The 17350-nt window shown below is 36.5% G+C and overlaps 1 pseudogene across 1 annotated transcript in view; it reads left to right on the top strand.

Annotated features, from left to right (window-relative positions):
- DPY19L1P1 (DPY19L1 pseudogene 1) overlaps window positions 1–17350 on the top strand; it is a 138230-nt pseudogene that overhangs the window by 53164 nt on the left and 67716 nt on the right. The window contains exon 6 of the transcript NR_036680.1: window positions 9961–10018. The product of NR_036680.1 is annotated as a DPY19L1 pseudogene 1 (transcript). The remainder of the gene's footprint in view (window positions 1–9960; window positions 10019–17350) is intronic.

Here is a 17350-nt window from a genome sequence, read left to right as displayed (position 1 = left end):
TGTAATTTTATAATTATTCTAATAGTTTCCTCAGTTAATTTTACTTAGACTCATTTATTGAACTAACGACACATTGGAGGGAAAGGTAACATACAGCGTGTTGGGTGGCGGTTTCTTAAATGTCTGCTTTTGCGATTACACATTTCCCCGACTCCTCATTCTCCAGGTAAGATGACTGTAACTCCATACCTTCGCATGGTCTGGTAGTTTGTAGTTGGTAATTTCAGTATGGAAAATTTCTCTTTTTTTTTGGAAGGTTCTTCTTTAATGTTTTCAAGCCAAGGTTAAAATATACTGTATTATTTCTTTTGGTGGTGAATACAAACATCTATTTTAATGTTATCTGGAACATTTTTATGATTTCTTCCTTATAAGTATTTTTTGACAAATATCAAGAGGTCTCCAAATAAGTAATTGAACAAATTTCTTTCTATTAATGTGCTCTACAATGGGTATATTACTTATTAGTATGTTTTTAAACTGAATTTTCACTGCTTTATATATACATGCATATCTTTTGGCATTATTCAACTTTTTATCATCAAGTACGTCAGTGGTCCCTTGCCCCATCTGTCTTCCCCACCCCATCTATCCCTTTGTCTAGGGAAAGCCACTTTCAGATCTTTGAAATCTCAGCAATTCTGATACGTAAAACAATAGTCCACAGTTACGTTATTATGACTGTAAAAATATTGCTTACTGCTGAATTAAGTAGTATAAATAATTGTTTATTTGGTAACTTAAAATTTTTCCTGTAGTTAATTATTGCTAATATTTTGTTTTCCTTGGTGTTCTGTATGCTGATTAATTGCTCTCCAGATCTACAACTGAACTGTAAACGCTTATTTTATACTTTGTCAAATGTATAAAATCCATTATTTCAATTCTCCCACTCCTATCCCCTGGGGCCTCCCTCCTGGAGCCTCTGTCTCTGGTTCCATCCTAGACCCGTCCTTCCCTGGGCTTCCGTATAGCGATTCCCTGGGAGTTTTGTTTACCACCATCCTGAGAATTCCCCTTTCCTCTCTGGCATTGGATTCATTGTGTTTTGGACCCCAGGTTGGTCTCTTTCTGGTCTGTTTCATCCTTTCGAGGATTATATCCTCAGGTAATTTCCAAGAGAGTCACAGAGATAGTTTTAAAATACATTTGTCTGGCATGTTTGAACATTTCCTTTTTTATTTTTGTACTAAATTACTGGTTTGCCTGGTTGTTGATTTTTATTTTTCCTCAGACTTTTAAAGGCTTTGTTCGACTGTATTCTAAGATGGAGTGTAGCTTTTCAAAAGTCTGGTGCTGTTCTACCATTAGTTCCTTTTGTGTGTGGTTAGTTGTTTTCCTCTGGCAGCTTTTGGGTTCATCTTTCTCTCTTTAGTCCCCAAAAAGTTCATGATGTGGTAGATATTTCATCCTTCTCATCGCATACTTTGTGTGCTCTATCTGGGCACTTACTTCACTTTGGAGGAAAACTTTTTTTAGTATTATTTCCCTAATGACTTTCTCTTCTCCATTTTTTTTTTCCTGTTTTCTTGAAAGTTATTGATATTGGACTTCTTGAAGTCGAATTTTCTCAGGGTTTTTCTCCCTTATTTTATTTTTACATTTTATTGTCATTTCTGTTAGTTTCCAACCTAAAGAATCTTGAGTTTGAAAATTTCTCTGCCTGTTGCATTGTCTTTGTTACCTCTAGGTCCCCCTTCAATTTGTATTAGTTTCTATTTTTCACATTGGAAGCTTCCATCCCCAACAGCCTGCTGATTCCTAGCTTGACATTTGTATCTAAGAATGAGGAGCTGGTTGGAAGATTGCAAAGTGGATGGGTCTTAACTGACTAGTGGCTTTTATTACAGCATGATGAGACTGTAAACTGCTTTGTTTAGGGAGACTCAGGCTCCTTTCATGTTGTTGCTTTTTAGTTTACCAGCCTCAGCTGCTTCTGCCTGTGGCCAGAGTCCGGGAGACATATCTGATTCTTCACGTCAGTGCAGAAGTGACACCCAGTGCCATTGACTACTCCTCCCCCTCACCCCTGGTCATATGCAGACACTTATGCGTGAGGGCTGAGCACACACTTTCTGAGGCAGGGTCAGTGTTCCCTTTTCCTTACTTCATCCCCTCTCTGGCGATGAGGTCGCTTTTTGAACAGAACTTTTAAATGATCTTTTTCATGAACTTCTCTACATTTAATGTGGGCTGCCCAGAGTCCCTGTGGCCCCTCTGTTGATCTGTTCCTGATCTTCTCCCCCACTTTTGAATATTTGCCCTTGTCTCTACCCAGTTCTCCATTGTTTCTGAGCTTTTGTGAGAAAAGCCTGGATGTCCTTTTGTAGACATAAGTAGTCAGCAGAAAATCCCTTTTCTTCCACATAAGGAACTGGCTAGTCAGAGGACAATACTTCATCTTCCAATTTTCTGTTCTCTGTTATCTTCTTTGGTCATTGGAGATTCAGAGTGGTTTCTTTGATACCTGAGAGATTTTTTTTAAGCTGCTTTATTTCTAGATATGTTCCAGAAGCCCTGAGGGCCTGGATGATTAGTCTGTATGTCAAAGCCCTTTTTAATTTTGCTTGATGTCCCCCTTTACATCTGGAGTGAATAGTCATCATTAACACAGTTAATCTTTCTACCTTCTCTTCCCATGATCCAACCAAGTTGCCTATGAGGTATTCTTAGGCTCTGTAGCAGAATGGAATAGTGTTTTGTATTAATTTTCCACTCTTCCACTGCCCTCCACCTGTTTTAAGGAAAAGTTGAATTTCTTAAATTTTATGCCAGTTTTGCTTCCATTGTTTTACATGATATTTTCTTATTATTTATTTTCAAAAAATCAAGCATTTACTGCTTATACAGCCTGGATTTTTGGCTAAAAACACGTCTTAAATAGGCTGTGAATTCTACCATCTCAAACTTTTCCAGCTACATTTTTTTTTTAATGTACTATTAACTTGGCCTGCTAACACATCTTTAATCAAATCCATTTGGTCTAACAGTTGTATATGAATATTTAAAAGATAAGTATTTTTATTTAATATGCATAAATTGATGAAAGTTATTGGTTGGCAGTATTGGCATCTTTTCTCCAAAACCTTCCCCTTTTTATGCCTTCACTCTCTCAGCAAATGACACTTCTGTCTACTCTAATGCCCAGTCTGACCTCTAAGAGATAGCCATGACTTTCCTCTTTCCTCTGTAATCCAAGGAGTCACAAAATCCTATTATTACTGTCCTGCTTCAGAGTATCTCTGGCGTCCTTCCACTTCTCTGCCAGCCCATCCCCCTGGGATGACTCTGCATCAGCTCATGTGGCTCTGCTCCCCACCAGTCTTGCTCCCAGGCTGCTCTGCACACTGTTGTCAGTGTGGTCTTATCATTTGAGGAACTGTGATGAGGACCGTGTAGCTGGAGAGCAGAGTGTGGGTAGGAGGAAGAATAGTGAAAGGAGTTGAGGTGTATGCAGGGGCCAGATCCTGCGAGGCATTTCGGATATGTTTTGGTGTTTGGATTTGACCTTGTGGGCAGGGATGCCATTGAAGGGCTGTGTGCATGGAGTGGGATTGGGTCCATTCATTGTTAAAGACAACACACTCTGCAGTGTAGAGGGAGCAGGCTTTGGGTAGGGGGTGTCGGAGGCTGTAGCAGCCCAGGGGAAGACGATGGGAGCCTGAGCTGGTATGATGGTGGTGGGATGGAGGGAAGTGGACAGACTCTGGGATACTAGGAGGCAGAATTGTAGGGGAGGCTCCAGGGGAAGCATTTGTTCAGAGGAGAGTGATATTTCCAGGCAGGAGAAGGAGGAAGCATCTGGGAAGAGGCTGCGGGTGTTGGATAGGTAGTTGTTCACCATGGAATGAAGGGCCTGGAGCACACAGTGGAGAGGTCTGCATAGGAGTTGAGGGGTGTGGTGGTTGGGTCAGAGCAGAGGCTCACCTGAACACATGGCCCTGCCTGGTGTGACATGAGGTGTGGTGTGTTTGGCTACAAGCTTTCAAAAAAGGAATGCCAGCAGTCTTTTGATTGAACAGTTCTGTTTTCAGGTACCCTTTCACTCTCTTTCATGGACAAGCCTTGGTCCTTGGCACCATGGGTGAATTGAGGAGTTCACAATCTAATAAATGAAAACTTCTGTTAGAACTGGCAGATAGAGAGTTAAATTAAAGGCGTTAATGACTTGCTTGAAACAGACTGGAAACGACCAAGCTGAGAACTTTTCTCACCCTTCCTGATTCTTATCCTTATTCCTCATCTTTCTTTCCTATCTCTTTCCTTAGTAACCAGTGAATCCCCCCTCCCCCTGCCACCATGAGTATAGGGGAAGGTTCTCAGCTCTGAACCAGGCCTGCTTGGCATTTCTTCATTGGGCCAGGAAGATGCTCAAGCCTTCAATCTCCAACTTAAGATTGGAAATTATCTTAATTTGGTTATTTCCAAATTTTTCTCCATTTTCTCTTTCTTAAGCATTTATACAACAATAAGAAAACTTAACTCGTAAGAGTTATTTAATATAGTTTTGAATGAACTCTGATTACTTTTTTCTCTTCAAAAGTTTAACTTTGGATGGTTCATCATTTTTGTAAATAGAGATAAAAATCTCAATGATTAATGAAACCTATCAAAACTTGATAATTGATTTAAATCTATACAACTATAGTAGGTAGGAAAGAAGAGAATTATAGCATTCTTAAATTTTAGAACTGTAAAGTATTTTTAGGTCCTTTTTAGCTTTATTTTTTATTATCCCCTCATTTTATGTCTAAGAAAAATCAAGGTTTAGGTGAATGAGATGTATGAGTAAATGTGGTAAATGTTTAGCAAGCTTAGAATGTTTTAAAATTTGCACAATAGGAGCTTTCATATTTTCTGACAGTTGGTGGTAATATTGCAGGAGAGACTTTTTTTTTTTTTAACCACTAGGGAATGCTGAAATGTCAACTGATCAACTATAATGGGAAAAATTTTTTTTAAAATTTTAGGTATTCTGATTGCTGCATCTTTTCTGTTTAGCAAAATAACAGGACTTACTTAGTAGCCTGTATGCATTGGGGTGAGAGGGTGGACGTCGAGAACACTAGTTTAGATTTGTTTCAAGTCATATCATTTCACAGTGATTCTAACTCAGAACATTCCTTGTAGATAAACAAATTTTATTCTCCTCCTCTAGCTTTGCAGTTCTCAAAAGTGTACTAGAAAAAATCTGCCTCTTATGTTAGTTAAGCAAAGCTGAGCCCATATTCATGGAAGATGTTGGACCATAACCTGTATTTTAGTAATTTGGTGAAAAAGGAATGTAGTTACAGTGGCTCTGCCCTCAGGAAATTGTCCAACCTCAGAGCCTCCCAGGTTGTATGGCAGCTGAGTGAGGGTGTGCGACTTCTTAGGCAAACCTCGTCCTGAGATTTGGTTAGGGAATTGGATTTGTGAGTCTTTTGTTCTTTCTCTACCTTTACTCTGCCATTTAGAAAATTAAAGTTATTAAATTTCCATTTTTATTCCTCGTTCCAGAGAATTTTTAAACGGAAATTTTACATTAAATTCCCCGTGTCATTTTTTAAAAAACTCATCTTTCTTGTGTTTTAGGTTGTTTTAGCTTCTAATCAGAGAATGAGGTGCCTTTGCAACTAGATGTCCCAGTGACATAAGAAAATGATGTGTAATCTCTGTATAGTCACAATATTGAGCTTGTTGATTATCTCCTTCAGATCCCTAATATGTTTCCTTTAGCTTACTTGACCTGTCAGATTATGAAAGAATTAAAATTTTCCACTGTGATCAGATTTTATCATGTTCTCTTTGTATTTCTAGAAGTTTAACTTGGTACTTGACTCTTACATTGGTTGTCCAAAAAAAAATTTATTATTTTTTGAGATAGTTTCACTCTGTCACCCGGGCTGGAGTGCCGTGGCGCAATCTCAGCTTATTGTAGCCTCCGCCTTCCTGGTTCAAACGATTCTTGACTCTCAGCCTCCTGAGTAGCTAGGACTACAGTCATGCGCCACCACATGGCTAATTTTTTTTTTTTTTTGTAGAGACAGTGTTTCATCATGTTGGGCAGGCTGGTCTCGAACTCCTGGCCTCAAGTGATCCACCCGACTTGGCCTCCCAAAGTGCTGAGATTACAGTACAGGCATGAGCCACCGTGGCTGGCCCCAAAAATTTTTATTTAAAGGAATACAATTAGAATTGAGTAAATGGAAAGAAATATACTGTGCAACTGAATGACCATCATATAAATGACAGCCCTTCCCAACCCAAATTATATATAAATTTAATGTCATTCTGATCAGAAGCCTGACAATTTTTTCTTGGGTTGGGGAGCAGGGTTGGGAGACTGGTTCAGATGTTATATGTAAGAATAAGTTGGTAGGAATTACCTAAAAAATCTTAAAAATAAGAGTAGTTGGGGGTGGGGAGCTTTTTAAAATCATGTGTTAAAATTACCATAATGCTACAGTAATAAAAATAGTGTGATACAAAAAAATAAAGAATTCAGTCAGTTGAATGAAATAGAACAGAGTCTATCATTGTAAGGAATTAATATAAGACAAAGGCTGAATTTCATTTCACTGGTAAAAGGGATGTTTACGTGATAAATGATTTTAATATAATTGGGTATTTCAAAGAGTTCAAAATTAGGGTGGAAGAGCTAAGTGGAAAATGCAGTTAATAATATTAGAAGAAATTTTAGGAGACTATAGTTTTGAGGTGTGGAAGACCTTCAGAGACAAGACAGAAAGTGCAGAAGAAATAAAGGAAAATATCAACATATTTAAATACATAAAAGTTTAAAAATTCTTTCTGACAGAATACACAACAAATTATATCAAAATACTTTGTCACACATATGTGTTAACTTAAAATAATCAAAAGGATCAGAATCTAAATAGCGTTTATTCAAGCACAAAGTGTGAGGGTAGACCACTCAGGAACACCAACTCCAAAGGAATGAAGTCAGCCTTTGGAAGTAGGGAAATTTAGGTTTCATTTATATGGGCAGAGACAGAGACATTTTTAGCAGGAATACAACATTATTCATACGGATTGGCACATAGTCACAGCAGTTTGATTGGTTATAGGTGGTATTTCTTTTGGGGAAGGGTACATTTAACTTTTTTTTTAAACAGAGGGTATAATAATGACAGGTTTTCTATAGTCTGATCTAAGCAAAGTAAAACAACACAGGGAAAGTTAATCTTTAACAGGGGTTATTAACTACAAAGGCAGGCTCACACCTGTAGTTTCAGCTACTCTGGAGGCTGAGGCAGGAGGATTGCTGAATCCCATGAGTTCGAGGCTGCAGTGAGCCATGATTGTGCCACTCTACCCTAGCTTGGGTGACAAAGTGAGACCCGGTCTCTGGGAAAAAAAAAAGGCAGGAAGTTTTTGTGCCTGACAGTGTTTAATTCTGTAGTCATTGTACTGAACAAGAAAAATAAGAAAGCAAGTTAATCTATAATCTGAGAATGGAAGTTGTAACCATATGTGACTCAGATCACAGTTACATCTTTCTGAAGGCTTAAAGTGGTTGTTTTTTTGGACAGCTTTTAAATGTTATTTTCACATTTGACAGTCAAAGGTTTGATAACCTTAATTTTTAAGTAGGGAAATAGTCTAATAGAAAAATAGACAAGAATATGAATAAGCAGTTCACGGAAGAGAAAATACATGTTGTCAAAACAAAACACTAAAATGATGCTGCATACAAGTAGGCAGTGAGAAAAGGGTTTTCACCTGCCTAAGGACAAAATTTTGAAAAACACATGAGGTGCTGCACGAGGGGTGGAGAAATGACCTCCTGCATACTCTGTGACGAGGGTGTGGACTGCTGCAGTGCTTCCGGGCACAGCTCACATCCTTTGACTCATGTGTCTCACAGTTAGATCCCTCCTGAAACAAATGCGCCAGCATTTACACGTACGAGGATGTTTACTTTCACCATTTTTTATTATAGCAAGAAATTGAAAAATATTTATATGCCCAGTAATATGGAATGGGCTAAATAAATATATTTGTACTATACAGTATTTGCCATCTATAAAAAGAATCCCTTTAACTTTACATATATTGATTAGGAATAATCTTTATGCTGAATAATTAGAAAAGGAACAAATTTTAGATGTTAATATGATCACACAGAAAATATATGTTTGTGCGGTTAGAGAGAGAGATTTGGAAGAATAGACACATACTAAAATGTTCTTAGGTGAATAGGATTGGGAGAGGGTAGCAAGAGAAAATCACATTTTTTTCCCTATAAACTATATTTTTTGTCTTGTTAGAGTAAGTTCAAAACACTAAAGTGTATTTATTTGTTTTCTAAACCATTAACTCTGTCTTAACCTTTCTAATGTCTAATCACTTGTGATGAAGCCTGGGCCTAGCCTGTGTGCTTCTCTTTTGAAGATGTGGTACACCTTTCAGGAGAGAACCCTGGCGTCCACTTCCTAGCCTGTACTGCTTTCTAAGCTCCTCTATCTGATGCTCTCATTTCAGTGATCCATCACTTCAGACACTTTCTGGCCAATGTCCTCAGTTTCTTTGCCCCTTTATATTTCATTTGTGCTTTCTAGGCTGATAATTGGTAGGCAAAAATCACACAATCTTATGATTAGTGACCCTATAGATTTGTGTTCTGCAGCCTCAGTTGTTCCCCTAAGATATCCCAGCAGCACTGTGTTTTCCCCAGTTACCACTCTCCTGAAATGTGAGTGGTGTTTCAGACATTTCTGTCTTTCCTCAAACGTTTAATGCTGCCATCGTTTCTCTCTAGCAGCGAGTGGCTGTGTCTTCTGCTCTGTGGGGAACATGGAAACTCCACAAAGTACTTGCCACTAAATATGCAGTCTTCCTCCTCTTTTGCCAAGGCAAACAGGCCACCTGTGCTGGGGTCCCAGCCCTACCTGTCTCCTGGATACTCCCTACGTGGATTATCCCTGCTGGCCATTGCATCTCTTCCTCTTTTCCTCATTCATACATCACAAGAGTAAATACAAGGCCTTTGATGCCTATACCATCTGGTTCTTTGTTTCCTCTCTGACCTCTCTGTGGTATACTTATAGATAGAGAAATAGAAGGAAGGTAGATAGAGGAAAAGAAGGAAGGATATTTGGGTAGAATAATAAGAAAGCAGCATGAGCTAAAATGAGTAAGAAGACTTCAAGAGTAAAGATGCAGAACATGATGAAATAAACCTAAAGATAGCCTTATGTCCCCTACCCAGACCTGGGGGACAGTAGGGAACATATTTCACTCTTACCTGAGCAAATGAAGGTTAATTGTTAGAACTACTAGATTGCACCATTGTAATTTCTTATCTAGAGTTATAAGCCTGATTGTCATACTTTGATATTTGTGTTCTATTCCAGTTTTTGAAAACAAATGAAACATAAAACTTCATAAACTGGTATTTCTCAAGTGTATTCTGCAGAAAAGTAGCTTGGGGATGGGATTTGGGAAATATGAAATTAAATCTTTAATGTGTGGAAGTGCCTTGTGAATTTCTAGGAGCAGGTAGGCAGTGTGGGGTTTTCCATCCTCATGACCGTGGATCCCTTTCCTTGCACGTCTTTCTCACCCTTTTTCCTAATGTATGTCATCTGTCCCAAGGAAAGCAGTTTGAGAAATGTTGAAGGACATAAATAAATATGAGGTTATAAAGAAAATAAAAAGAAAAATCAGGTTGCATGATGTACAGCAATGTGACTAGTAAGAATTTTTTATTCCCTTTCAGTTTGCGTGCTTTTCTGAGTCTATACATATTGAAGATAGCAAATGATTTTTTAAAAATGAAAAAAGATTATTTTGACTAATACTTTGGAGGAAATAAACTATTTTATAAATAAGCATAGGAGAGTTCTAGTGTGACTAAAATCTTTTATAATACCAGAGGTTATGATGTTATGCCATTTTAACATTTTTCTTAGGATTGACCTGGATTTTTGTTATTTATGTTTTCTTCTTTTCCAGTGGCAGCCGATTAGGAGGCCTGGTTACAGTGTTGTGCTTCTTTTTCAGTCATGGAGAGGTAGGTAATCAAAAACTATTCTCAGAATTACTCCTGGAAATGCAGTTTTCTTCTTTAAATTTAATCTATAATGGCATTCTTTAAATGTTTAATCTTATTATTTTGATTCAAAATTTAAACACTAGCATTCATTTAAGTTAACTTTTCATGACCGTTATACTTCTTATGTGATATAAGGCTTAGGCTTAGTAATTTGATGAAATAGTGGGTCTGTATCAACTGTATCAATTCTTTTTTTTTTTTTTTTTTTTTTTTGAGGCAGTGTCTCTTTTTGTTGCCCAGTCTGGAGTGCAGTGGTAGGTCGTAGCTCACTGCAGCCTCAAACTCCTGGGGTCAGGTGATCCTCCTGCCTCAGAATCAGCTTCCAGAGTAGCTGGGACTACAGGCATTCATCACCACAGTCAGCTAATTTTTTAAATTTTTTATAGACATGGAATCTTTCTATGTTGCCCAGGCTGGTCTCGAATTCCTGGCCTCAAGCAATCCTCCTGCCTTGGTCTCCCAAAGTGTTGGGATTACAGGTGTAAGCCATCACGCCTGCCCTCAAGTATCAATTGTTTGTATAATTTTAAAACTGTGAAACTCATATTTTAGTTATAATAGAAGTAGGCAGTAATCGATATAACTTTCTTTTGTAGGGATAACTTTTTGTTGTAGGAGCTACACAGTGTATTCTTATTTTAATGTATTAACATTTGATATTCTTTTAAGTACTTTTTGCAAAATATTTGAGTGTTCAAGGGCTTTCTAAAGACAACAGTATTGTAAAAAATACAGACCCTGGATCCAGGTTGCCTGGGTTCAAATCCTGACTGCTATTTAGTGGCTCTGTGATCTGAGCAAGTCATTTAATCTCTCTTTGCCTTAGTTTCCTCTTTGTAAATGGGCATAATGATGTTACCCACCTCATAGGATTATTGCAGAGACTAAGTGAATTCATATGTGTAAATGCCTAGAACAGTGTTTGGCACTTGGTAGCTGCTATGTAATTGTTAGCTTGTGTTATTACTGTTATTGACTAATTAACTTGGTTTAAATTCTAATGTAAATTCAGAGTTTCAGTGTTTCTAGATTAATCATAGTTGTAAATGAATTTCTAATACACCTCTGTCTAGATTTCTTTCATGATAAATTTTGTATGAGGGAGAAAAGAATAAAGGTCAGCTTGCTTTGTGTGAAGTGACTTTGTCCTTCCATGCATTTTATACACTCAGTGCCTGCTGTATTTGAATATGCACATGTTTTAACATGTGCTATAACAGTAATCATCTCCAAACATAATGCAGAGTCAATGCTGGACTTCTTTTTAGTCAGCGAGTTACTAATGGATACTTAGCTAATATGTTCTTAGTATTTAGAATCACAGAAATATAAAGCTAGAGTAGTTGACAACTGGTTGCAACATGACATCAGTTAATTGGTATAGTATGTGTTTAAAAAAAAAAAAAAAAAGATTTGGCTTTTCCTGACTGTGGATCCTGCACATTGTGATAATGTGGACCATGAAGCACTTTGAGCCACAGATTCTGTGGGAATGACCTAAGAAATAGGGAAATAACCATTTAATAATGGAAGAAAGAAGCATCGTGTGTTAACAATAAGGTGTCAGAGGAAAGAGGTTATTCAAAATTTTGGAACCTAGACCACCAGGAAGACCACTGTTTGTAAAGCGCAAAGGTCTATCGTGCTACCCTCAGTGTATACTATGGTTTTTAATTCTTGGTCTTAAGTTTTCTTATAAGTTTGATACTCATGTGGCATGAACATCATTCCTTACAAAGTTTTCTTAAATTTTAACAATGGAATTCAGACTATTCAGTTGGCTTTTCAGGCTGATGAATTGTCTTTTTGACACTTTTCAGCTACTTGGTGTAGCTGAAAAGCATGCTTAGACATTACTTTTTTAGGAAAAGGTAAACCGAATATCATTAGAATTAGAATTTCAGTTTTGCTGAAATAGTCAAGTAGATAATTTTACTTACATGTAAAATTACATGTGAAAATACAGGTAATGGCATTAAAATTGAGAGCATAAACTGCAGTTTTGGGTAAAATATTGGTGAGAACTCAACATATTTTGGTTTTAGTTAATGAGATTTTCAGACCCTATGTTTTTCAGATTTTTAAGTGTATACTTTTTCTATGGACAGAAATATTCACTCTGGTAGTACCTATTTATGTATTTAGTGAGCTTTTGTAGAGCACTGCTCACTGGAAATGCTAGTGGGTTACTAATTGGTACCTTACTTTCTTAGGAGAGTTACTTTGATCACATGAGTGATTGGTTTATGTTGCAAAGAATAGTTCTGAATTGTTACTTGCATTTAAGTTCTATTTCCATTATTTAGTTTGCTCTGCACTAGATGCTAAGATAGCATAGGTTTACTTTTTTCAAATTTTCTTTTTCCTCATATGGTTTTACAAGGGAAAATTTTGCCCGAACAAAATAGTTATAAAATGTGTAGCATGAATAGCTTAATCGATTATTAAATAAATTATTTAAAACACATTTAAAACCTTCAAATCCGAAACTTGTGAAATGCAATAAAAGGGTTTATAATAATGATCAGTAATGTTGAGGTTATACATTCTATAATAAAAACTATGCAGATGTTTTCATTGATCAAGCTTCTTTAGTAAATTTCATTCTGTCACAACTGAGAATTTTTGCAAAGGCAAAAGCTAGCAATTTTGTTTTGCCTTTAAAATGTTTTCTTTTACAAGATGCACACAACATGTGTTGATGGTGCAGGGTTTTGGCATGCTGATAGAAAAGCACATGAATGTGTATTAAGAAAAACCTGAATACAGTATTTTTCTCCAATTTTTTGATTGTTAGAAATTCTTTTTTTGTGAAATAAGATTGTTTAGCTTTTTCATGGTAAGATTAAAAAAAAAACTATTACCAAGCATGATTGATTCTGTTTTATGTAAAACATAATCGCATATATAAAGATGTGCACATATGAAGAGGAAATTCCTTACTTTGTGTTTTTTAGAAATAAATACTTTTTAAAAAAGTAATTCAAAGTAAATGAAAGGATTGCCTTGGGGTTCATATCTAATTAACCCATTTTTATGACCCACAACATATTTCTGACCCATATTTCTTAACTATTTTTGCACTGAACTGAGATTAAACTATAAACATACATGTTCCTAATTACTTATTGACAAAGTTATGCCATTTATATAAGATTTGGAAAAGAATTCTTAGAACACTTTGAAATCAATCTCATTCTTATAATATTCTTATATGGTAGATACGTAGTAAATATCCCAATATCATAAAAATGGAAGCACTAAAACATTAAGAGATTGGCTCAAGGTTACTCAGCAGGGAGATGATTTTATTTATTTATATTTTTTAAAAATTATTTATTTTAACTTACAAATAATAATTGTAGATATTAATGGGCTACAATGTGATGTTTTGATTTATGTATACATTGTAGAAGGAGTCAATCAAGCAAATTAACGTATCTATTCCTTCACCAACTTAGCATTTTTTGTGGTGAGAATGCTAAAAATCTATTCTTTTAGCAATTTCGAAATACGCAGTACATTATTATTAACTGTAGTCGCCAAGCGGAGCAATAGATCATTAAAACTTATTCCTCCTGCCCAACTGAAACTTGATATCCTTGGATCATCTCCCCATTACCCATCTCTCCCCTGAGCCTCTGGTAACTACCTTTCTGTTCTCTGTTTTTATGAGAATGACTCTTAGATTCCACATGTAATTGAGATCATACAGTATTTGCCTTCCTGTGCTTGGCTTATTTCACTTAGTGTTGTATCTTTCAGTTCCATTCATAGTGTCTCAAATGACATAATTTCCTTCTTTTTTTAAGGCTGTGTCATATTCCATTGGGTATGTATAGCACATTTTCCTTATTAATCTCTTTATGGACACTTAGGGTTGCTTCCGTATCTTGGCTATTGTGAATAATGCTGAAATGAACATGGGAGTGCAGACATCTCTGATGTACTGATTTCAGTTCCTTTGTATATATACTCTGAAGTGGGATTGCGAGTTCTATTTATAGTGTTTTTGAGGAAACTTACATGGCTTTCTAGAATGACTGTATGAATTTACGTTCCCACCAACAGTGTGCAAGAGTTCCCTTTTCTCCACATCCTCTCCAACACTTATCATTTGTCTGTTTTGATAATAGCCATTCTAACAGGTGTACATTGATATCTCATTGTGGTTTTAATTTGAATTTCCCCTATGATTTGAGAAGCTGAGCATTTTTTTTTTCATACATCTGTTGGCCATTTGTATCTTTCCTTTTGAGAAATGACTTCAGATTCTTTGCCCATTTTAAAAATTGAGTTGTTTTGTTGCTATTGAGTTATTTGAGTACCTTATATATTTTGAATATTGGGGCCTTATCAGAGGTATGGTTTGCAGATATTTTCTCCCAATCCTCGGGTTGACTCTATACTGTTAATTATTTCCTTTGTTGTGCAGAAGCATTTTAGTTTGACACAATCCTATTTGGCTATTTTTGCTTTCCTTGCCTGTGCTTTTGCAGTCTTATCCAAGAAATCATTGCCCAGATCAATATTGTGGATCTTTTTGCAGAGAGAGGATTACAAGTTTCCTGATTCTCCCATTAATCTCTCCAAACACGAAACTCTTAGTTAAGGGAGTAGCATTTCAAAGAAGACATCACTATAATTTATCGTTTATAAATGAAAGGTGCAGAGACCTTTTCTTACCAATTTGTGGACCTCTTCGTTTTTCTTTCATTCTTTCTTCCTTTCTTTCCAGTGTTGGTAAGGTTTTGGCCTGCTGTACTCCAGGTACTTTTTGATGCTTGAGATGTATAAGTAAAACAAAGACTCCTATCCTTGTGGACAATCATGTGAATGTGGGATTATCTTCTGCCTTAAAGCAGGAGAATAACTGGCTTATTTGGGCAGTAGCAAGGAGGAGCAGAGAGTGATAGCAGATAAGGTCAGACAGTTAATAATTGGAGGTAGGATAGAGTGGGAGCAGATTTCTGTAGGTCATTATAGGGTCCATTTGGAGTGGATGGAATGCCACTAGAGGATGATGACTAGTAGAGTGACATGATTTAAATTATGTTTTACATGAATTTGGGAAACAGTGTAAGTACAAGATGTATAGTTTTATGAAGGCTATTCACTGGTATGTCTATGGATTTGTGAACTTATTATATTAAACTTACAGTAACTGCAAAAGTTCAATAAAAATAGAATGTGTTAATCTTAGCAGCATATCTGCTGATGTAAATTTGAAAAGCAGTCTACAATAGAAAAGTAGCCTACAACATCTTTTATGACCTTGCCCAGCTGGATTTCTGGTTTTGTCTCACATCACTCTTCAGGCTGTTTTTTATTGTTTTGCTTCAGCCCTATTGGCCCTTCTTTCTCCAGTTCCTGGAAAGGACTATTCCTTTTCCTTCCTCAGGGCCTTTGCACATGCTGTTTCCTATGCTTTGTATATGCCTCTGTGCCCCTCATCTTGACCTCTGCCTAATTAACTCCCGGTTATCCTTCACAACTGAGCATTTCAGTTTGCATCTCAATGGTGTTCTTAATTTCTTCCTGCAGATCTGGATTTCCATCTGACATAATTTCTCTTTAGTTTTAAGAATTTTATTTAGCATTGTGATAAAGATATCCCAATAAGTCCCTTAGTTTTTGTCTGTCTAAAAATGTTATCTTGCCTTCATTTTTGAAGTATATGTTTGCTGCATAAGAATTATAGGTTGATAGCTTTACCTTTCAGCACTTTAAAGATGCCATTCCATTATCTTCTGGTTTCTACCGTTTTATAAGAAGTCAGCTATAATTTTTGTTGTTGTTCCTCTGAATGTAATGTGTCTTTTCTCTGTTGTTTGAGAATTTTCATTATATATTTGTTTTTTATTGGTTGATGGTGGTGAACCTAGATGTGCTTTGTTCATTGAACGCTTTTGTTTTGTGGGTTAGTTTTTATTTTTAATCAGTTTTGGAAAATTTCTAGCCAAGATCTTCTTTTTAAATACTTTATTTTCCCCATTCTTTCTCTCTTCTTCTTTGGGGATCCTAATTACATGTATGTTCAACTTTTTAAAAATACTATCACAGATTTTTGACACTGTTTTTTTTTTTTTCCCCATTTTTTTTCTCTCTATTCCTCGCTTTGAGTATTTTCTCTTGCCATGTCTAGGAGTTGATGGATGCTTTATTCTGATGCATGCAGTCTGCTATTATCACTCTCTGGTAAATTCCCTCCCTCCCTCTCTGCCTTCCTCCCTTCTTGCCTTTCTTTCTTCCCTCCTTCCCTCCCTCCCTCTCTCCCTCTCTCTTTCCCTTTCTTCCTTCGTTACTTCTTAGAATTTCCATTTTTTTCCTAGAGCCTCCATTTTTCTGTTGAAATTTCCTATCTCTTCATTCATCTCACTAATATTTTTCTATACATTTTAAAATCTAATTATCATAGTTATTTTAAAGTCTGTCTTCTAATGCCAACACCTACATTATCTGGGAATTTAACTCCATTGACTGTTTTTTTCTCTCGATTGTGGATCATGTTTTCCTGCTACTTTGCATGTCTCATAGCTTTTTATTTTATGCAAGACAACTTCTGTAAAAGAATAATAAAGATTGAACTAGATAATCATTTTTGCCTCAATTTCCCTAGAAAGGGAACATCTTCTTTTATGTCAAGCACCTAGGAAGAGAGACTGAGAATTTGGATCCCACATGAAGCCCTGCCAAGCAGGGCAGTAGTATAGTTTTAATTTGTTTTAGTTTACTTCCAGTTTCAAATGAACTACAGTGATCTCTTTTTTCTTTGTCTCAGTCCCCAACTTTCCAGATGCTCAACTTGGGATTCCTTTGATCTTACCACTCTTTAAACTGGGAAGGGGTTAGTTTTCAGCTTTTTAGTTAATTTTAATCCATCTCCAGATTCAGCCGTGGCAAGACCCTGGAACCTAAGCGCTGTGTGAGATTGTGATCTCACAGAGTTCTGACTTTCCCCTACTCCTCTTTATCTGCCAGATTCATGTGTGTGTATGTTTATGTGTGTCCCAGGTTGGGGGAGGGGTGGCTGTCACAAAAAATATTCATTTTTGTGTTTGTAGCTTTTTCAGATTCTTGTTTATATTGTTAGAAGCTGTTTGGTTCCAGCAAAGACTCTCTGCCTGTGGCAGATCCTTACATAAATTACGCAGTTGTTCTCAGGTGTGAAGGTAGAGCCAACAACTGTTTTATTATCTTCACCTGGGCTATGTCTAGTTCCCCTGTAAATCTTGTACTAAAAAGGCAGTACAAGAAAAGTACATTTTTCTCTACTGTTTTTTCTCCGGC

The sequence above is a fragment of the Homo sapiens genome, chromosome 7 (genome assembly GCF_000001405.40).
Source record: "Homo sapiens chromosome 7, GRCh38.p14 Primary Assembly".
Classification (NCBI taxonomy): Eukaryota; Metazoa; Chordata; class Mammalia; order Primates; family Hominidae; genus Homo; species Homo sapiens.
This window is presented reverse-complemented; position numbering and strand designations above follow the sequence as displayed.